This window comes from Homo sapiens, chromosome 9 (genome assembly GCF_000001405.40).
Source record: "Homo sapiens chromosome 9, GRCh38.p14 Primary Assembly".
In the NCBI taxonomy this organism is placed as follows: Eukaryota; Metazoa; Chordata; class Mammalia; order Primates; family Hominidae; genus Homo; species Homo sapiens.
The window spans coordinates 8,848,012-8,870,736 of NC_000009.12; the positions used below are offsets into that span (position 1 = coordinate 8,848,012).

At 39.6% G+C, this 22,725-nt stretch overlaps 1 protein-coding gene and 1 long non-coding RNA gene across 53 annotated transcripts in view; one reads left to right on the plus strand and one right to left on the minus strand.

The window, feature by feature from the left end:
- Positions 1–22,725, minus strand: part of PTPRD (protein tyrosine phosphatase receptor type D) — a 2,298,757-nt gene that overhangs the window by 533,766 nt on the left and 1,742,266 nt on the right. For 12 of the 51 annotated variants that reach the window (XM_047423660.1, XM_047423659.1, XM_047423648.1 and 9 more), the window contains exon 1: positions 9,627–9,856. The exons of 38 other annotated variants lie outside the window; for them this stretch is intronic. The gene's annotated coding sequence lies outside the window, so the exon portion shown is untranslated. Of the gene's footprint in view, positions 1–9,360; positions 9,857–22,725 lie in introns of those variants that run through there. One more of the 51 variants, NM_001377947.1, reaches the window with a different exon arrangement.
- PTPRD-AS1 (PTPRD antisense RNA 1) lies at positions 10,007–13,716 on the plus strand. Of its 2 annotated transcripts, NR_121599.1 has the most exons (3): positions 10,007–10,312; positions 11,945–12,026; positions 12,771–13,716. It is a non-coding gene; the product is annotated as a PTPRD antisense RNA 1 (long non-coding RNA). The 2 variants fall into 2 exon arrangements; NR_121600.1 differs by lacking the exon at positions 11,945–12,026.

Consider the following 22,725-nt stretch of genomic DNA (forward strand, 5'->3'; position numbering starts at 1 on the left):
TTGGGCAGCTATGAAAATGGCAGCCTTTTTGATTTTAAGAACTATTCTTGGTGGAAATATTTCATTTAAACACTTCTGCTCCAGGACTGACCCCAGAGCTCTGGCAGTTGTATCACTGGCAGAATAGGATAAAATTTTAGAGCTGGAGGCCATCTGCAGAAAAAAAAGGTCATCGAATCAAAACCCCTTTGGTAAAAAAATGTTTTTTTCAATGCCTCCAGTCCCAAGCAGAGAAAGGAACAGAAGATACTCTTCAGAAACGGTAGAGAGGCAACGTACTTATTAATGCTTAAGATTTTTCCTTTTTTTTTTTTTTTTTTTTTTTTTAGTTTTTTGCTTTTTGAGACAGAGTCTTGCTCTGTTATACAGACTAGAATGCAGTGGCACGATCCCAGCTCACTGCAGCCTTGATCTCCTGGACTTAAGTGATCCTCCCATCTCAGCTTCCCAAGTAGCTGAGACCACAAGTGCACACCACCGTATCTGGCAAATATTTTTTTTTTTTTTTTTTTTGGTAGAGACAGGGTCTTGCTATGTTGCCCAGGCTGGTCTTAAACTCCTGGGCTCAAGTAATCCTCCTGTCTTGGCCTCCAACATAGATTTTTCTTGAATTTGAGTCAAGAAAGCACCATGTCATTGGGCGTACTTGCCTGGACGATGTGAGATAAATATTTTTTTTAAAATCATGTCATATACAAGAGTGAGGAGGTTAAGAGTGAGTGAAACAGATAAAAGTTGGGATGCTTGACTTAAAATCTTGACCCTATGTTCCATCTTTATTACTTTTATCTATGCAACCTTGGGCAAATTACTTAATCTCTCCATGGATCAACCCTCTTCTGTGAAATGATGATAATAAAACCATCTGACTTACACAGAATGTTATTTTAGACATTAAACATAATACTAAAGGTGAGGTACTGAGCAGAATGCCTGGCATATAATAAATGCTCAGTAAGTTTTAGAAATAATCACTATTACAACTATTACATATCAACCACTATGCTATAGCTGTAAATTTGAGAAAATTAATGAAATTTTTCCCCATAAAGGAATTTTAATTTTTACCTATCTCAGGGTCCTGAGCATTGTGAGAGGTTTCTAATGAATAATTATTCTTCACATTTTATGGTTTCAATTCTACTCAACTCAAAAAAAAATTTTTTTTTTTTTTTTTTTTTTGAGACGGAGTCTCGCTTTGTCCCCCAGGCTGGAGTGCATTGGTGTAATCTCAGTTCACTGCAAGCTCCGCCTCTCGGGTTCATGCCATTCTCCTGCCTCAGTCTCCCGAGTAGCTGGGACTATAGGCAAGTGCCACCATGTCCAGATAATTTTTGTATTTTTAGCTGGGACTACAGGCGCCCACCACCACGCCCAGCTTATTTTTTGTATTTTTAGTGGAGACGGGGTTTCACCATGTTAGCCAGAATGGTCTCGATCTCCTGACCTCGTGATCCACCGGCCTCGGCCTCCCAAAGTGCTGGGATTACAGGCGTGAGCCACCGCGCCTGGTCCATAATTCTTTAGTTCAACTCAATTCAACGAAAAGGAATAGCACTTGAACTGAGCATTAGAAAATGAGAGAATAATAGGATTTCAATGGATACAAGTGAGGACAGCTGGTAAGAGAAAGGAGATTCCAGGAACAGTATTGGTAGAACTAAAGAGGTGCCCAAAAGCACAGCCTCCTCAATGACTGCAGGGAATGTGATACTGCACAAGGGCAGAGTATCACAGGGCTATGGTGAGGGAGAAGGCTAGACATGCAATTTGGGAGCAGACTGCAAAGGGCTCTGATGGCTGTGTTGAGTATTGAGCACTTGATCAAGTAGACTTGAGCAAGTTTGCCTTTCATAAAGCAAAAATTAGGAAGACTCAAAGAGGAGAAATGAGAAAACACAAAAACCACCTAAGAAGCTGCGTATGGAGTGCAGAACACATAGGAAAGGTAGAAATGGAAAGGAAATAAAGTGAAAAGATTACAGGAGGAGAATCTACAAAATTGCCTGAGGATAAGAACAAAAGGAAGAAAAGAGATAGGGATGACACCAAGGTTTCTGATCAAGGGATAACTCAGATGAAGTATGAAGAAAAGAGAAATAGATATGGATGGAAGATAGTATTTTGGGTTTACAAAATACAATGTTTGGGATACAGGAGAGCCTCCCATTTCCCAGTCATGTAACAAGCAGATAGAAATGCACGTCTGGAACTCCAGAGACAAGCGAGGAAATTTATTTTGAAGGTTATCTATGTAGAAATTATTGTTTCTATGAGAAGTGGATAGACATATGGCAGGAGACAGTACAGATAGCCACCTGAAAGGGGATATAGATAAAATGAAAATAAAAGAGTTTAGAATGGAGATGGAGACATAGATGCCAAACATCAAATGGAGACAGAGTTCCATGTTGATGAAGAAAGTGAATGTCAAAGAAGTAACTGACAAAGAACAACTTCCATCCATGGCATATTTCCAATGGAAGATGCTTCCAATATTTTATTCCTCTAGAAAAACATAGTTGCCTCTTTTCTTCCCCCTCCCCGAGAAAAGCAAAAATGGTTACCTGGCCAGTAAGTAGATTTAGAATATTTAAGATACATCCAACAAACTACTCTTATTTCTAGCTAGCCAAATAATCTTGATAGATCTTTTTAAAATAAGACATAAATCAATGTATCTACAAAATCATAATGAGCTATTTCAACCAGAGAAGTCTGAATTGGTTTTTCTCTCAAAATTCTCTAATAATATTTCAGTTAAGTTACTACTACAAGTAGTTGGAATGTGTTTTCACAGGGAGGCCAGGATCTACTTGTGTAGTAAGAAATCATTAGAGCATACTCAAAATGTCCCTTTAGATGGGATGGGCCAGGAGGAAGGAAGACGGAGAAAATTTTTATTTTAAACATTGAAAACATATGTCTTGTTGACCTATAAGCAGACACTGGATCAGCATTTGATGTGTCTAGTCTAATTTCTCCCTGTAAAATTGTACTGGTGAATCTTAGGGAGACAGAAGGCAGTAAATTCCTTGCCTCCATCAATACATTTGACCTCAGAGCAAACCCCACAACTGGCTACAGGCACCCACCATCCATCATTGCTCTTGAAACCTGATACTTCAGGGAAGGACAGCTGCACTGGGCAAAAGTCTAAGCAGCTTTCTAAGATGCACTACCATTAAAGAAAAAAAAAAAAAGGCACTTATTCTGCTTCAGTATTTTAATTAACTGCTTTTCTAAACATTTCTTCCCCCAAACTGAAACTCCAAATCAAATATCCCCAGGAATATATTAATAAAATTTAGACTTTAGAGAGAAACGCTCTCTTTGTGCATTCTAGGTAAAATTATTTCTAGCTTTTGCTTTAAATGCTTTCTAAGATAAACAACATACCGTGCCATGCTAATATGTACAGACTTTAATAAATGTGCTAAGCAGAAAAAGAGAGTTCTAGCAACTACACTAATTATAGCAGTACACACAGAGTGCCAACAGGAAAAACGTACACAAAACATCCGTATCCAACAGATCTTAATTTTTAAGTCAAGTGGCAATCACTTTTAACAAATAGCTGAAGACAACAGAACTCTATCATAGGAACTAGTGTTCTTGAATATGGTATGTTCATTACGTGACTTCTACATTCGAGAATTATGTAAATTTAAAATACAAAATAAGATAAATTTGTATGATCAAACTGGATATTCATTACATGTATGGTTATTCATTCCCTCCATTTTACAGATGATGAAACTAAGATTCTGAAATGTTTTATCATTTCCTCCGAGAGCTCACAGATAATAAGTGGCAGAACTGAGGCATAAATTTAGTTCTTCCTATAAGAACTGAATGTTCTTTTCACTGTAGCCTAAAAAGAAAGGAACCTGGGTCGAGATTTTGCAATTCTTTAGCATCATCTTAATATGTATTACATGCACGCATGGTTAAATGAGAATTAACAATAACTGATATCCAACCATTTATGAAATCATTACTAATACAACCCTTTTAGTTAATAAATGAAATCCATCTACTAACGGTTTAAAAAAAAAAAGATGTCTCTTGTTACTTGTGATCCAATCATTACAGAGGATCACTTTATGTATTTGAAAGTACAATTTCTCCAAACCCCAAAGCAGTACTGAGAAATGCTGTTTTCTAAATACAATTCCCAAATCTCAATTTAGTTAGCTACTGCTACATTAAAGAACATAGCTCAAGGGATGTTGTTAATAAAAAAAGAAAAAGAAAAAGACAATTGAGAATTTATAAATTTAATCAATCTCATGCAACTGGCAGAGTTACGAGAGTTAAATCTAGTAAATAGCCATGTGGCAAAGGTCACTATGCTCCTGACATTGTTATCTGAATGTCAAGGAAGAAGCAAACTTAGCCTTTCTGGTCAATGAATTCAAAGAACTAAGAGAAAGCCTTGACTCAGATGGCTGCTTTGGCTCTTACATTTTGTTGTAAATGCTGGAGGAGCCAAAGTGGGGACCTGCCACGTAAAAGCAGCCATTTACAAAGGAAAGCAAGGTTTGCTCGTCGCAGGTGAAGAGGGAAGAACATAAGTTGTCTCAATACTACTTGCCTGCTGGTATACATGACCTACTAGCTTACAGACAGAATGAGCTGTCTTAGCTCTCCAAACTGTCATCTTTTTCATTTAGTTTACTTATCTATGACACATAGGGATTTGATTTGAAGGACAGCAGAGGTTAAAAAGCCATCAAAAAGCTCAGTTTTGCTGTCTCTCTCTTTTTTCCCCCTTTTGGTAATTTTCAAAATGTCATAGGCCAACTGAGTAGTATTAATATGGTCCTGTTAAATGTATTAGCATCAAACTAAAAATAATTAACAGGAAGATACAGAATTAATCATTTTGTGAGGGAGGAGGGAGGCACTGCAGGCATTGTTTTAGTCCATTTTTTTCCCTGTGAGTTGCTTCGAGGAGCGTGGCAGTACACACGGATGTAATACGTAAAGTACATAATGTCTAAGTCCTAAAAATATTTTATAAATAAACTGTTAAGAGAAAAAAATGCAAACTGTTGATTTCTTGAAAGCAAATGGGTAATTTATTAAGGGGGAAATGAGAGACACAGGTCTTCAGTGTAATCTTTTGAACTATGTTTCGTAAGAATTCTAATTCATTAATTCTCCAGTCTAGCACCATTGTGATGGCATTATTATTTAGGTTACATTAAGTCAGACTGCTGTAACATATAAGCATTTGCTCTTTGACCTTCCTAAGACTTATGACGCAAAGAAAATGCTGAACTTTTACATCTGAGGCTATAATTTCATATAATGAACAATCAGGAAGCACAAGTCACATATTCTTTTAGCTATCTTTCTTAAGGGCTTAATTGTGGAGAGTTGAAATCCATTTTTATTTTTTTAAAAAAGGGAGAGAATTTGGACACTTTGTGGAAACAGATGTAAGCCAAGCATGACATTTTAATAAGTGTCACCAGCTACCAATTAGAAGCAAATGAGATTACCCATATAGAAAATGTATCCCAAACAAACCTATCCTTTGGTAGAAATGTCACTGTGCCATGAAATTACAGAAGCTTAAACAAGTGATGCTTGTTCAAATGAAATTTACTGACAAATTCCTTCTAAGCAATCTTCTTCCACATTATCAGATTTCTTCAGTTGATGTGTTACATAGGAATTCTCAATCTTGTAGTTCACAGAGAGAATAACTCTTCTCTTTGCTCTTTCTTGGCAAATCACTGATAATATAAAAAAGAATGTTTTAAAACACTGGTTTTGCTTGAGGCAGTAAGCTGCCTCTTTGCCATCACAAGTAAGCAGCTTTCCTAAAAGATATTTTCAAAGAAACTGAACAGTAGAAAGATGAAATAACAACAAAAAAAGGTAAATAACTCCATAAAACCAAAAGAGATTCAGACTAAATTTGGTTTAAATCACATGTAACTATTATCACTTTAAGAAAATAGGAAAAAGTAAAGCATTTTTTGAATACTCTGGGAAAACTGGATAATTATATCTATATTTAGCACTTCATATATCTGGGCATGTAATACAAATCCTGTATATTTCGTGACCACTAAGTTGAGTACACTACATAAAACGTAAAGTTTATTTTCGAGATTCCTAGAAACTTTTGGGAATTAAAAAGGTACCATGATTAAAGGCTTTCTGCATAGATATTTTAAGTGTAAACCTAAGTCTGATGCTCCTAGGATCACAAGTTAGAGCACAAGAGCACACACACACTTGACTCTTATACTGCCTGCAAATACACAATGAAACTAAAGAAGGGTTGTTTTAAAATAAAAGGTAAACTAAGGAAGGATAGTTTTAAAATGAAGTCATCTTTGAAATATTCACCTTTCTTGAAATGACACTTTTCATATGTGATTGTGTTAATGAATTCTTAATTATGCATAGAATCCTTTTAAAAATAGAATTGTCCAATGGTTTGATAAATCAAGTTTGGTCTGAAGGAAATCTAATATGCAAATACTTACAGTGTACTCTTTTACAAACAGTCACCCTTGTCAGTTTGAAAAATTGAAAATCAACGAAAGAACAGTTTAAGTATACTTGACCTCACTGCCTAATGTCTCTCAAGATTGCCATGGCTGGTCGATTTCAAATCTGTGAAACTGACACTTAAAAATGTATAGTGCGTCTTCAGTCCAGGTCCCTCAAGTGCTAACTAAACTGTGGTCACAGCCTCAGATTTTCTTTCCATACAAACTTGTACAGCGCTTACAAAGCTACTTTAATCACATCATCAATCTATGCCTATACTTCCCTTAAAGTAATTCTGCTTCATTTATCTTTTAACCCTACATTATGCAAATAACATCCTTATCAGTCCAATAAAGAAAAGTTATTAATGTTCCTTCTTGTTTATCTTTGTCATACACTGAGAACTGGAATCACATATGAATTTGCACCAATACCTTTTCTCTTTTCTATTTTTCACACTCTATATGGAAAATCATAGTGCCAGAGAAGCCCTAAATAAAATTCTTGAAATAGTCTTCAATCATTGTCTATAACTAGTATCAGAATATGAGTTAATGTATTAAAAAGGAAAAAACAAAAACTTGGGGGAATGCCTACTTGAATTTTTTTTTTTTTTTAATGTCTCTCTAGGAAGGGTTTGCATATGCCATACCAGGATACCTCCTGGATATAAGAACAGTTATACAGGCCCCTAGTGGCTTAGCAAATAGCAGCAGATGAGGGGATTCCAATTCTTAGTTCCAGACTTTGAGATATTCTGGATTTAAATAAGTGTCAATCTTAAAAGGCAAATCAAATCACTGTATTTAATACTTTAAGCAGTTTTACATCTATGGTTATCTACTCTAACGCACATATATTAAAATAAATTGCTGCATTTCATTACTTGAGTAACTGCACAACTGCTCTGGCCCAAGAAGAATCTGTGTTACATAACCTACACAATAAAATGTTTAATTCATCCACCTTTTTACATGTCATGCAAAAATAATACATTACTCAACTATATTAAAATATATTTGAGAGAGACAGTGTTCCTATTTGAATCTTATTCCTATTATATATTACTGAGGGCTATAAGAACAGATGATTTCTATGCAAAGTACTATTTAAAATAAGATACAGATAAAAATTGAATGCCACTTTTACAGGAGTAAAAATCTAAACGTATTTCCCAGTAACAGCCAGTGATACAACTCACATTGGAGTCCATCTATTTTTAAAGATCTACAATTAATAACACCCATTAATCCCCCATCCCCTTGCTGTCCTTCCTTCACAAAAGAAAATTCCAGGCAGGCACATTTACAGCTTTTAGCAATTTTTAACTGGACACAATCTGACAGCTGAATTCATGAAACTGACCAGCTTGTCAATTTCACACTTTGAAAGTACAATAATAGCTGATAGCATGAGGGTGAATTTAAGAAATCTGCCACAGAATTGCTAGCTCCATTGAAAAGCAAAGTACAGTACATAATTATGGAATGTGGGAGGTAGGGAAAATTTTATTGTCCATTTAGGATGTCTGTTTCCATAAGTCAGACACGGAACATTGAAAATGTGTTCTCTTTTTGCTATAGTGTCTGTAGCATAAAGCAGAATATATGTTCAAAGTAAGTAAGATACTAAGCCTTTTACTGGGTATTATTATATTACATATACAACTTAATCTTAAGTTATTATCTCTACAGATCCCTTTACATCAGAATGTTTCAAGTTTTGGTATATCATCCTTGTTTTACTCAAGTTGAGTGGTTGGTGTGTGCACTTTGAAACAGAGAAAAAAATACTGAAAATGGTCAGAAGTATCTATGGTTGAACTAAGTCCCCAGAGATGCGCTACAGGATGGTTAGAAAAGAATACACCAAAGGATAAAGTCCACATTTGTAGCTCAGTAAATTTAACAGCAAACCTATTTCAAGTCATAAGCAGTTACTAGCCTCTGAGAGGTTCAAACTGTGTGAGCTACACTCTGTTAAGTCACTGGCACTGTGTCTTTGCACATGTAAATATATATATATAACTTTAAGAGGAAATACAAGGAGAACGAGCCCTCAGGAATCTTCCTAGATACTTAAGGTGCAAACTGTAGATGAGGCTGGGGGATTACTCTGAGAATTTTAGAAAACGGAGGAGACATTTGGCAAGTAGCGTACTGGGAGGCGAACTGGAAACAATAAAAGTGGATTGTGATAGTCCTGGTTTTGGAGAATGGAACTACTATCTGGAATCCTGGAACACCAAATTAATGAAAGCCAAGCTCACACTTGGTGTTCAAGATTTTTTTAAGCATAAGACTTAAAAACTGACTTCACTTGCTAGTGCTTTTAAATGAAAATCAACGTCCAGAGAAGCAATGCAAGTTTTCTACACACCCACATAAAAGCTACAATAAATCTATGGGAAAGCAAATAATCTTTGGTTTGTTCGTGGCTTTCTTTTTAAATTGTTTCTTACAACTTTGACTCTTCATTATAAAAGATGCGTTCCCTTCCCTACGGAATGAATGTGTGTGTTAAGTACACCAGATTCCCGCAGCTGAACTACGAGCTTTGATTCTGCCACGGGAAGGTCTCCCAAACAATCCCCCTCCTCTATGGCAGCTGCGTAGACTTTGATTCCTGCTATTTCTCCTTCTCCCCACTAGTTCAGAGGAAAGAAAGAAAAAGAAATCGCCCCCTCACCGTAGTCAGCCCTCCTTAAAACAGTAATCCCTGCCTTTAAAAAAGGCGGTGGCAGGATCCCTGGGTAAGGGTGGATTGCCCCACCGCTCCACCATTTGCCCCCAATACTACGCCCACCCTAGGAGGAGAGAGCGGGGGTCGCACAAATACACATACCCGGACACCCCCATTCTCTAGAGTCGCCTCTCTCCCGGGTCTGAGGTTTCAGGCGAGAAGTGAACCCAGCAGGAGAGGACCTCTGCCCGAGGAGGTCCAGAGGAGCAAACTGTGCGCTCCGGTGCCCGGGCGCCGGGCTCGCGGAAACGCGAGCGTGTCGCTCTGGCTCGGGAGGCGCCGGCAGCCGGAGCCGGGCGCAGGGCGATTCCGGAGCAGCAAGAGGGGAAGACACCGCGGGGCGGACGGGGTCAGTTCCAGGGACTCACCTGGTCATGTTGGCCCCGGGCAGCCGCCGCCACCGCCTCCCGCGCCGCCGCCAACACTTTCCTCCAGCGCCTTCGCGCCCCGCCACGGCCGCGCCGCCGCCTCCGGGCGGCCAATTTAATCCCGCGGAGCAGCGGCCGCCGCCGCCGAAGCCCCCCTGGTCGCCGCCGCCGCCCAGCCCTCGTGCGGCCAGCCCAGTCCAGAGCGAGGAAGTGGAAGAGAGTCAGCGAGTGAGTCCAAAAACCCGAAATCCAGCATCCAAGGCAGCGCGTCCCCCCGCCCTCCCTCCACCCCTACCCCCTTTTCCTCCTCCTCCGCCTCCTCCTCCTCTTCCCGGGCCGTCCTCTTGGCCCTTCTGAGCCCGCGGCTTCCGCGGCGGTTTCTCCTCCTCCCGCTCCTCCTGCTCGCCCTGCGCCCGCTTCTCTCGCTGCCGCCGCCGCCGCTGTTTGTCTCCTCCCCCTCCTCCTCCTCCTCCTCTTCCTCCTCCTCCCGCTCCTCGATGCTCCGCCGCTCGCGGCTGGGGGGTCCGGGGCCGCGTCTCCTCTCCTCCCTCCGCCTCTCCTCTTTCCTCCTTCCTGCTGCCTCTTCTTTTAAAGCGGATTCTTTGGCCACAAATAGCAACTCGGCTGCCCCCCTCGGTGCCTCCCTCCCCTTCTCTTCTTCCCCCCAAAAGTGAAGCGCACGCGAGGTAACCAGAAACTGAGGCTCGTGGGGGGAGAGGGGTGCGAGGCGACGCCTGGGAAAGGGCCCGAGCAGAGTCGAGGGCCGGGAGGTGGGGTGGCCGGTGCAGCCCAGTCTTTGGACCTGGCTTGAACCTGGTAGTTACGGCTGCAGAAGAGGTGGTTTGGGGAGGGGGGAAAATTAAACGAAAAAGCCCAGGAAAGTCATTGGAAAGGCTTCTCTCTTTGTTTCCTTGTGTGGGTGATTTCTAAAATCCTCGTAACGTGCTGGGGATCCCACGGAATTGCTGTGCTCCAGCGCTGGGGGATTGTGTGTGCGCGTTGCCTGCGCGTGAGTGTGAGTGTGGGTGCGCCCGGACGCGGGGAGAGCTGGGCCCGCTGCGCCCGCTGGCGAATCCCTGAATCTGGACCACTGACCCACTGAAAGGGCCAGAGAGCCGGATAAAGGAGGGGCAGGCAGGAGAGGTGGGTGAAGGAGGCAACACACACACACACACACACACACACACACACATACACACACACAGACACACAGACACACACACACCAGAGGAGGGGGCGGGGTGACGTCACTCCCCAGCATCCATCCACCAGGCCAGAAAAGACCCTCTCCAACAGATTCACTCATCTCCTAAGAGATGCACACCCGGGCGCTTCCTGCTCTGCGTCCCAGCGCAAAGGAGGAAAAAATGCTGGTCGCGCCCTATTGACAGCAGTGATAATACTATAGGGAGCGTGCTTTGATGAGACACAGTTTGTGTCCGCCCCAGTTCACCTTGGCAGCCTCCTTCGGGGATGCTTGTAGGATCCGCTTTGAAGGCAACGAGGAAGACTGGGAAGTACTGAACCAAAATCTTAGTGTGATAACTTGTTTTGCTTTCATGCCACTTGCTTTTATGTTGTTGGAAATGCAGTGCTCCTCAGCTTCTCTGAAGGACACTATAACACCTCTTCCCTAGACAAGCATCCAGTTGTTGGGCTATGCACTCTTCATCCACACAACCCAAGGTGACTAAGGTGCACTGTGTGTATTGTTAGCTAAGAGATGGATTTTAACCTTCTTCACTACTCATAGGGTCTCCAGCATGTGGAAAAAGTCGGCAGCTGGAAGCCACCATTGGCAGTTGGCCCATCAAAATTTATTAGAAACTTGGTCAGAAAGGTTAAATAAAGTAAAGCTAGAGCTCACCAGCCACCTCCATTGCTCATTCTGTGTTCAGGCCAGCACATACACACAATACTTATCCCTGCAGACTCCGGGCTGTCTTTGAAAGAGCAAAGGTAAACAGACACCCTTAGATTTGACTTAATGATCCAGCATGCTGACTGCTGTCTCAAGCTGCCCATTTGTTTCCACCATCTGCATGCTGTGCTCCTGAAAGCCACCGAAGGATTGGTCAGTAATCCTCTGCCCCCTATGTACTCCAAAAATAAGTCACATATTTTTTAAAGGAATCTCTCTAAACGAAGTTTAGTTTTCCAGCAATTTGGGGGTGGGGGAGGAGCATCCCTGCATGATTGTCTCTTGGCTTTTTGGTTTTGCTTTTTTATGGTTAGGGTCATAGTGAAAATCAGGAAGAAATCAATTCTTGTGCAAGCCTTCAAACGAGGTTTACCCTCCAATCATTCTGATTTCACAGGAGCTGAAAAGCTGTGCAGGGATGATGGACCCTTGCCCCCTGTGACCTAAGGATGGATCCAGAAATCTCAGCCTCCCCATAGGTGATTCCACCCAAGATGTAAACTCCTACTTGGCTTTGTCATTGCCACATGTGCCCCCATAAACTGGCAATCCCACTTTCCTCATCCAAAGTTGCATGTTAGAGAAACAGAAAGTTTTAAAACCCCTAATATTCCTTTGCTGTTACTTTTGTGGGAAATGTATCACTCTGCCTGCAGATCTGACCTCATTTAAGAAGAACCCAGCTGGTAAATCTGACTGCTATCTGGGAACATAGTTGAGGATATATCATCTTACACCACTGGTAGTGATTTAAACTAGCAAGTAGAAAAGGGACCCAGAAATCAGGGGATACAGAGGACAGTACAAGTAAATGGCATAAGCCCAACTTTTCTGACACTGTGAAGTCCTAGATGTTCTTGTCTCTACTACAACCAAACATCAAACATCTTAGAGAAAGAAGTAGGGATGGGTCAAGGTGACTGGAGAGTCTGAGTTATTATTATACCAATGAGACTGAGAATTATTCAGGGTGATGCTGCTGAAAAACGGGAGATACAGCAAATAGAGAAGCCAAAGTTTCTCTGCACATCTGAGTAGTAATGGAAGTGAGACTGCAGCCTGCTACACTCATGTTAATATATTCAGAGCAGATTGGCAACAAAAGAGTGTCCTAATGCTGCAGCATCTAGTAAACTTCTGGACTGGTTTACCATTTGGAAATTTTAAGTCAAAGAACATCAGAAGCAGGCTAATCTTTTGTTGAAATTACCTCGTTTTTACAGGTAAAGAAACGAAGACCCTGAGAATTTAAAATCATCCAACTATTTGGTGCCAGAAGCAGGACAAGAACTCAGACATCATGATCCAGTGCCCTCCATCCCACCAGCTATTCATCATCACCTCCACATTCTGGATCAAAGAAGCCAGTTTTCCAACTTATCAATGAGCAATACATATAGAATATTTTTAAAACTCCAAATACTTTTATGAAGGAAAAATGAAGCAATAGGACAAGACATTTTCTTCGTTTCCTTCCAGCTCTAACATTCTGTGATAAATAGCACACAGGAGCTTTGCTATAGCACTACCCCCTCTAGTGCATAATTCAGCATACGATGAGTATGAGTCTGTTTTGGACCCCATCCAAAGGAGTTAGTTCCTAGAAGTACTTGGAAGATTTATTCTCATTTATCATGAGGCATCCTAACAGGAGACTAAAAATAATCACGATGACAATAATAGTAATCAGTTGTTACACTTGTATTATGTACTAAGCATCGTGCTAAGCATGTTAAAGTTCACCTGTTTTTGAAAAGGCACTTCATGACCTTATGTGGGTTGCGAATCTAGTGGGTCATAAACAATTTCTGAAATGAAAGAAAAGTAGGAAAAAACACAGAGTGCATTATACATACTAAGTTGTTTTATTTTTTATTTTTTTATTTTTTTTGCAAAACTTCCTTTTTGATCATGTGGCTAGTGATTAAAAGTTTGGAAGCACTGCCTCGTTTCCAATCTTAACTGCCTTGCTAGTTAAGTATTATTAGCCCCATTATATAAGTGAGGAAACAGGACGAGAGAGGATAAGTAATTTGGCCAAGCTGACACAGTGAGTGGCCAAGCTAGAATTTTGAACCTAGATCTGTTTGACTTCAAATCCAATATTTTCACTTCTATAGTGATGATAAATTATTGACCAAGGTATGGAATAAATTGTTGCTAATCATGTTTTCTTTGTGAGGACTACTGGGGTTTTTATTAAATCCAGCTAAATGGAGAAACACAGCATAGATTCAAGTGACATGTTCGGAAGAGAGTGAGGAATTTCATAAAACACTAAATCTAATATCTAAGACCTTTTCCTGTAGGTGTTAGCTTATGTCTAATACACTTTATTGACTTACTGCTAAATACATAAATGAAACAATAATAGTTTCAGTCCTCAAATAACAATATTCACTTCTACGTGTGTTTCTATTTTTATTTCAGAGAGTATTTTTCAAATTTAAGTTATACAGCATTTCTCAGTAGCTTGCTTTGGCCAAACACAGAACTAGCACATAAGAAAGCTAAAAGGCCAGGCACTGTGGCTCACACCTGTAATCCCAGCACTTTTGGAGGCCAAGGCAGGCAGATCACTTGAGGTCAGGAGTTTGAAATCAGCCTGGCCAACATGGTGAAACCCGTCTCTACTAAAAATACAAAAATTATCTGGGCGTGGTGGCACGTGTCTGTAATCCCAGCTACTCGGGAGGCTGAGACAGGAGAATTGCTTGAACCCAGGAGGTGGAGGTTGAAGTGAGCCGAGATCACGCCATTGCACTCCAGACTGGGCAACAGAGCCAGACTCTGTCTCAAGAATAAATTAAAAAGCAGCCAGACAACCCTATCATTCAAATTCAATTGTAAAGAAGAAAAGAAGATATTAATTAAGGTGCCATGCTAAATTTTTTGACCCATGTAGTTCTATGGATTCTACCAGTAACATTGCATGCTTAGGTGTCATTACTCCCATTCTGCAGATTTGAAAGCTCAAACTCAGAACTAGCTGATGATTGAAATCACCTGTTCTGATTCCACTACCCAAAGATTCTTTACAAACAAGTGGGCTTCCAGTAGAAAAGGAGGCAGCTGGAGATTTTGAGACATGTTGTGCAATCATTTATGCTTTCTTTTTCCACGTGAAAAAAATACACTTTCCTTTTCTTCAAGGCAGCATCTCTTCTTGCTGTTAGGCAGCACTGTCCTCTTTAAGAAAAGAAATCCACATCTTCATGGATGAAATTGGAAACCATCATTCTCAGTAAACTATCGCAAGAACAAAAAAGCAAACACCGCATATTCTCACTCATAGGTGGGAATTGAACAGTGAGATCACATGGACACAGGAAGGGGAACATCACACTCTGGGGACGGTTGTGGGGTGGTGGGGGGGAGGGAGAGCATCGGGAGATATACCTAATGCTAGATGACGCGTTAGTGGGTGCAGCGCACCAGCATGGCACATGTATACGTATGTAACTAACCTGCACAATGTGTACATGTACCCTAAAACTTAAAGTATAATAATAATAAAAAAAAGAAATCCACATCTTTCATAAAGAAAGGCCTAGAAAAGCCATACCTCCTCCACTGACTGCTCTGTTCAGCTGCTGCACTTCACCCTCACCTGCAGTGTGTAGAGGACGTTATGGTACAATGCTATTTGCTACTGGCTCTGCTACTGGAGATTACAGCATGCGACTGTGACAATACTGGCTCTGCTACTGGAGATCACAGCATGCGACTGTGACAAATGGATATTCCCATTAAATTCTTTAGTAGACTGGGGCATTCCATTAACCATTGGCACTATCCCAACCCAAGTGAAACACTGGGTCATTTTTTTCTTGTGAGCAAGAAGTGAAGGGAGAAAACAAAGGATATACTCTAATTACCTTTCCTATTTCTTTTTTGTTGCATGCATTATGATAACTGTATATTACACTTATTTATAATTAATATATGACAAGCTGTCAGCTAAAATTTAACAGGTGATTTGTCAAGAAGGCCCATTAATGCATACATTAAGCAGTGGATTTCAGTGTTTCCTAACAAAATTGTGTATTGGTTTTGTTTTTTCATTCTATTTAGTATAAACATTTTGAGGCCACCTATCTTTACATTTTGCAGCATTTTTAAAAAATAAAACTATTGCTAACATAAATGGGTGCATTGTTAGTTATATGAGGTATAAACACATTTCTGTCACCTTAACCTCTAAATTTGTTTCACTGAGGAAACAAATTGCCTAGTGTTTATTTTAAAGTTTTAACTTTCATGGGTTTTGATACATTTTTTAAATTATATCTTCAGTAGGAAAGGCAGAGCTGATTAGGGAGGAAAGCAACTGCAGTTACTTATGTTCCATTTAGTGTTTGTATCTTAGGTAAGAAAATTCTGAAATGAAGGAATATTTTAAAATACAGAAAAAGATTAAGAAGTCACCAGAAAGCTAGTAGTTAATCATTGAATAAAGGAACACTCTACAGAGACCAAAAACTGATGAAACAGGCTCCATCTTGCTGAATGGCGCAAGAATGGGAAACACAATGGAAATGAATCACAGATAGTTGTGAGGAGGATTCTTTGAAAGAAGGAAAACTCTGTTTCTCTATCTGTAGGATGTCAAATCATGGGACATAACCTGAAAAGGAAGTTAAATTTTGAACTTCAATATTATTATTTCCATGGTCAACCAAAATTTGTACTGTTTAAGAGAAAGATACAAAAGTACTGCAGCATTTGTTTAAAATTTCATTTGCACAAGCCTGACTCTTATCTCTCAAGACTCGGACATGCTTCAGGCAGTTAATGACTCACAATCCACTACTCTAGAGGGTGCTGAATCTCCTTAATGAAAGAATGTGCTTTAAGATTCAATGGTTAGGAAGAGAGAAATAAACGAGAGTAAAACACGAAGCACAGCAGTTTTTCAAAGCTAGTAAGACTTCTGCGTCCACCAACCAACTTTAGCTCTTACATTTTTAGAAAGAAAGCACTAACACAGAACCATGAAATTATTTTTAAAGGTTCTTTCTAACAGGGTTTCAGAGGATGGTTTCCAAAAAACTCACTCAGAAGTGAAATACCACACGTTGATTTTCACGTTGCAGGGAGCGCATTCCTATGCAGTTCAGGGATTATAAATGACCAGTGGCAAGTTGGTCATTGTATCCTGGGCCAGGATCTCACTGTCTCCAGATCTTGCTTTGTTTTCCATATGCAGCAGAGTCCCCATGAGTAACTGGGGGTGTTTCCTTGTGCATTCAGTAACAGTTTTCAAAACAGTGAATATAGCAAGGCATCAAGACTACTATATTTCTGCCACTTTTCTAATGTTTTCTCTTTGTCTTATACTTCTGTTCTTGTCTTACACTTGTATTAAAAACACAATAAAGAAAACAGCTTTGTACAAGCTAGTATTTTGGCCATAATTATACTTTTCTCTGTCTTCTCAATGAATAAGAAAATTTTGGGCCAGGTATCTGCACAAAGCGTGATAGAAATAGGATAAAACAGCACATCATCTAGCATGTAGCCTACATTTATGTAAATCTGGTTGATGTAAAGTCTGTTCTGTTATCACTTTTTAAAAATAAATCTATCATTCTTTCTTTAATCATAATACAAACCATCCAGGGACAGTCCAAATTTTTCAGAAAGAACAAATTTTTCAGTACAGGAGGCAGCATTTGCCAGTACAACAAGAAACCAGAAAACAAGAATCTGTGTTGGATCATTTAATTTCTACTTGGTGTACATACTCAATGTAATGTTTTCACAGTTGTTTGAGAGCAGGATTCATGTCTGATTGGAACCCAGAGCTCCTGTCATAGGGCTTTAAGCACAATAGGCATTTCATAAATATTTCAGAAAGTAAAGGAAGGGAAGGATAGAAATAGGAAATGAACTGGTTGTCAGGTGCACATCTTACATGATACATCACTGTCTTTATAAAGCCTCCCGTATAGTCCACTAAATAGAATGAATTTCCCCTGCTCCTGGGCTCTCATTCTTTTCCTTTTCTTCTTTTTTCCTATCTCTCTGTATTTTTATTGTGTATAATTTCACCCTATTAAATTGTGAGCGTCTTCACACTCTTCTCATCACCACCAAGCCCAGAACCTGCACTAGAAGCAGATCTCAAAAAAGGTCTGCTGCAAAATATGATAGCATGTGCTTAGATACCACTGTGGCCTGGTTAGATGTCACGTTAATATTGCCTCTTATTGAGACTGTGCTGAAAGGTACAACGACCTAGAGTTTGGTCAGAGTTAGGCCTCACTAATCACAACACACACCAAAATGTCCCAGACAAAGAATAATAATAGAGTCTAACGGGAGTGGATGGATTCGTAGTTCCACGGAACTTTTGATGAGAATGATTATAAAGTTTCATGCTTTCCTACAAGAAGTCAAAAGAATTTGATCAGTTCAGTGGACAAAAAATCCTTTATACTTCTAACTGGTGTTGACATTTTCATTTTTAACTTGGTATATTCTTAGATGAACAGAGCATTCATTTGCCTGTAAACATTATTTCCTATAGGAACATATATTACTGGAAGTTATCCTGATTTTCAAAACTCATTGGCCACATCTCCAAAATTACTAGTAACACTGAACAAGTCTTGGAGAGATTTAAAAGGCAAACCAAAACTATTCTTTCCCAACTGTGTGATTACTTTACATAGTCTATTCATGTTAGTGCTTGTTTTATAAATGTAGAAGCACCATTCCTGCTTGGTTATTTATTTGTGTTCAGTTCTTTAAGATCATGTTTTCTTTCCTTTTCTTACCACCAAAAGCCCATCTTTCTAACACAAGTATCTCTACTGTTCTCTGGACTAATACAATAATAATCTTTTGCATATTCTTCTGCTCCCATTGTTTTCCTGATTGGCCCCAATCTATGCCCCAACGTGCTGCCCAATTAACCTTAATAAAACACAAGTTGATTATGTAACTCCCATGCTAAAAAAAACCTCAGTGGTTCATGATTAAGTACGTACTTTATAACTAAGTGCAAATGTTCTACCAGCATTCGACATCTACCACAAATGGAATGCTGCCTGAGCCCATTTTTCCATTCTAATCTTTACCTCTTTTCTACCAATAGCCTAAATTCCAGCATTGTCTGGATAAAACTATCCATATTTCTTACTCAGCCAGAAAGTTTTCTTATGATCACCTACATGTTGAATACTTATCTATCCGTTAAGAATCATCTCATCAAGTCAGTTTTTTTTTCCTGATTCCTCTACCACATATGAATACTACTTCCATTAGAATATCTGATTCTTTGAATCTCTCTTGTACTGAATATTCTACTGAAATTGGATAAAAGATAATAGAAAGCACTAACCTCCAAGATATATTTAATGACCAGTTCGATCCATTAATTGGAGTGGCAAAATGTTATAAGCGGGGAGTAGATGGAGTTAGTGGGAATTTATGCAAACTTATGTTTAATCACATATTGAAAGGCCTCTTTATTTAATCACATCTTGCAAGTTCTTGTGTCAGATAATTGTGTTTGGGAAGGGAACAAAAAAATTCCAAAGATTCTGAGTTAAGACCAATATGAAGAACAACAGATGACGGACACTCTTAATATCTCTCCTTCCCTCCCTCCCTTCTTCTCTTTCTTCCTTCTTTCTTCCTTCTCTCCTTTTGTTCTCCTCCCTTTCTTTCCTTCTCTCAGCTTTGTTCATTATCCATGCAAGGAGATGAAATGACCCTGACTATTAAGTCTTTGTCCTGGAGAAGCACAAAAGCAAATCAAGTGAGGCAGATGTTCTGCTCTGCCCTCCCCCTTGGCAAAGACACAAGGGTCCAGCAGTCTAGAAGCAGACTGTTCTGAAAAGAACAGTTGGCACTCATGCTTTTTACTTTTCCTCCCTCAGAGAGACCTCCTGCTAGGTGAGTCCCAGGCTCTAAGAAATATCCTACCTTAAATCAAGCGGAGGTAAGAAGGAACAGGACAACTGTTTTATTTTTTCCTTTTCCTTTTTAATCCTTGCACCCACCGTTCTCTTAAAAAACAGGTCGTGTTCTAAGACGATGGATATCAAAACTGCTCAGTTTTCAGATATGTGCTGGGTAGTGATGAGAAATTAGAGCAAATGCTGAAAGCAATAATATTTCATCTGTGATTCAATCTTACCTGTGCCATTCATAGCACACCTGCCTTTTATTAAAGTTATATTTATACTTGTTTTTCTCTTTTTCTTTCTATGCTTCTGCCATAGGCCAACCTTGTAAAATCTTTATGGAAAACAATGGGCCTTAATCTTCTGTGTATCCCTTGTGCACCTGCAGAATGTCCTATCATAAGAGTGTATAATAGAACCCTGTATAATTGAATTTTTCTAGATTACATTGTTGTTGTTGAACTTAATGAAAACTTTATAGGGCACAAGCACATCCCATTTTTTCCAGTTTAATATATTCTATCATATTGTCTACAGGGAGCATACTTGTATTTATCAGATCAGGAGTCCAAATGTTTGGACTTGCAAACCCGTAGAATGATGGTTCACCACCCTGGTTGTGCATTAGAATCTGTACCACCTTTTAAAACATATGTGCCCAGCCCACGCATACTAGCTGAACTGGATTCTCTGGGAGTGAAGTTCTAGCATCTATATTTTAATTCATTTATTTGTTTATATTTTGAGACAGAGTCTCCTCTGTACCCTAGGCTGGAGTAGAGTGGCACGATCTCAGCTACTGCAACCTCTGCCTCCCAGGTTCAAGTGATTCTCGTGCCTCAGCCTCCCGAGTAGCTGGGATTAGGGGCATGTACCACCACACCTAACTAATTTTTTTTTGTATTTTTAGTAGAGAAGGGGGTGTCACTATGTTGGCCAGGCTGGTCTCGAAATCCTGGCCTCAAGTGATCCACTAGCCTTGGCCTCCCAAAGTGCTGGGATTACAGGCATGAGCCACTGTGCCCAGCCTAGCATCTATATTTTAAAAATCTTCCCAGTGACTCAAATGTTTAGCCAAAGTTGGAGCAACTTTGCTTTGTAGCTCTAGAGAGCACAATTCGAAAATCACTAGACTAGATTATCTTTAAAGTTGTTTCTTTTTTTTCTCCCAGCTCTAGGATTCTTTGTGAAAGTGCTTTTATTTTATAGATGAAAAAGAAATGATCCTTTGGCTGAATTCCATTTTTAAGTAGTAACTACAAATGAGATGCAGTCCAAATTTTATATATGCCTGTGGTGCTTTCAGCATATCTTATTGCTTAGTTTTCATGTATGCCCATTCATCCCGCTGCTCATTCAATCAAACCTCCACTGTGTGTGAGGTATGTGAACTATGCACTATCAAGTCATTCTAAGAATGTGGGCTATGAGCAAGGCACACATATGAAGGAAAACCCTTTTTATCCAAATACAATACAAACATCCTCTAATGATTTTTATTCTTTGCAGTCCAATTAAAATAGGAAGCCATGCCATCAAACTAGCCTAAATTCCAACCACCCTACCTCCAAATAAATCTGTGATTAAAACAAGAAGAGAAACAAAAAAAGAAAGAATTGGAAAGATTAAAACTCCCTCCTTGGAAGCAAATTGAAACTAGTCTTGATTCTTGATGCCTTTGTGTTATTTTCAGAATTAAATCAGGAACAACAAAACTACTACTTCTGAGAGAGAAAGATATTGCTTGTAATTTTTGGCTTAAGGAATTCATTTTCTTGAGAAGAAAGTATTCTTGGTGAACTCTAAGAATAGAAAACTATCAATTTACAACTAGGACACATGGATTTCTCCAAGAGTTAACATAATGCCTAACAAATAAGAGGTACAGTATCCACACTCTATTAGTTAAATGTTAACATTTGTATGGTACTTTATAAGTCACAGAGAACCTTAAGAGATATCTTTTAAGGCTCCTAATAATTTTGTAAGTGGCAAAACACTGATTTTATGGCTGACCCAGACTCATTGATTGATCCAGACCCTGAATCAGAAACTCTGGGCCAGCTCCCAGGAGTCAGAATTGTTGGCAAGCTTCTCAGGTAATTCTGAAAACCACCATGATAACTCAATTCAAATTTATTGATTTGTTTTATTGCTCCCAGGAAAATGATCCAGTGAGCAGATTCTGGCATTTCCTAAGAAGCTAGCGGCCTTTTTCCAGGATTTGCCTTTTTCTTTCTTCTGTACTTCTTAAAAGGAAAAAAAAAAAAAAAATCACAGGTGGCACCATTTTACCTAAATCTACAAGCTATGTAATTCTGCTCTGCACAGCTGGTTTATTCTTACAGTCAGTTGTCCCTGCTCTGAAGAAAGCCTCTAGCTGCTGGCACTGGTAGGAGGTTTGAATCCTACCCACTACCCTTCTGGCCATAACTAAGGTCCTAACAGCCTGCAGAGAACACAGGCTTCCTTCAGCAGTCAGCTGTAATTACACGAAATTTGTACCGGACATTGTAGTACAAACCCAGCAACCTGCTGGGACATTTCAGGGGCTTTAGCATTTAGTTGGGAACCACTAGTTCTAGCTGTCATACTCAGGGAGAGAATTGGTCATGAGCTATTTGTGTTGGTATATATCTCTTTCCATCAGTTAAAAAAAAAAAAAAAAGGTTTAAACGTAAAAGACACAGTCTTAGGTAGCTATCCCCTGCCCTTTAAATTATATTAGAACAGCATAATAGCTACTTTGGAAATGCCATCTCATATATAACATGAAAAAAAGACAGTCAAACAGACCCCTCAAAATAACCTTTTGTAGAATAAAACTACAGATTTTAAGGGAGGAGACAATGTTGTTTTAACCTTGTAATTACTCCTAATCCACACAGAGACTGGAGAGAAGAGTATTTTGATTTTATGTCTGGAATGAAATACACTTGACTAGAATTGAAGATGCAAGGGGGAAAAAACCCTCAAAATTAAAGGAAAAGGAAAGTGTGTGTGTCAACCACCCCATCTTGCTGTTTCTCAAACTTTCCAAATTCTTTTGGTTCACCACCCCAACCTTAGTAATGCCCTCGTGTGTAACAACCCTCCAACTATTCTGGTTACAGTTGCTGGGAAATTTGTCTGTCAAAAGACGAGAGGTTCCAAAGAGTTGGGCACTTTTCTTCTCAGGCAATAGAAAACAGGGTTATAAGACACAGACATGAAACACACACACACACACACACACACACACACACACACACACACGGGAGTT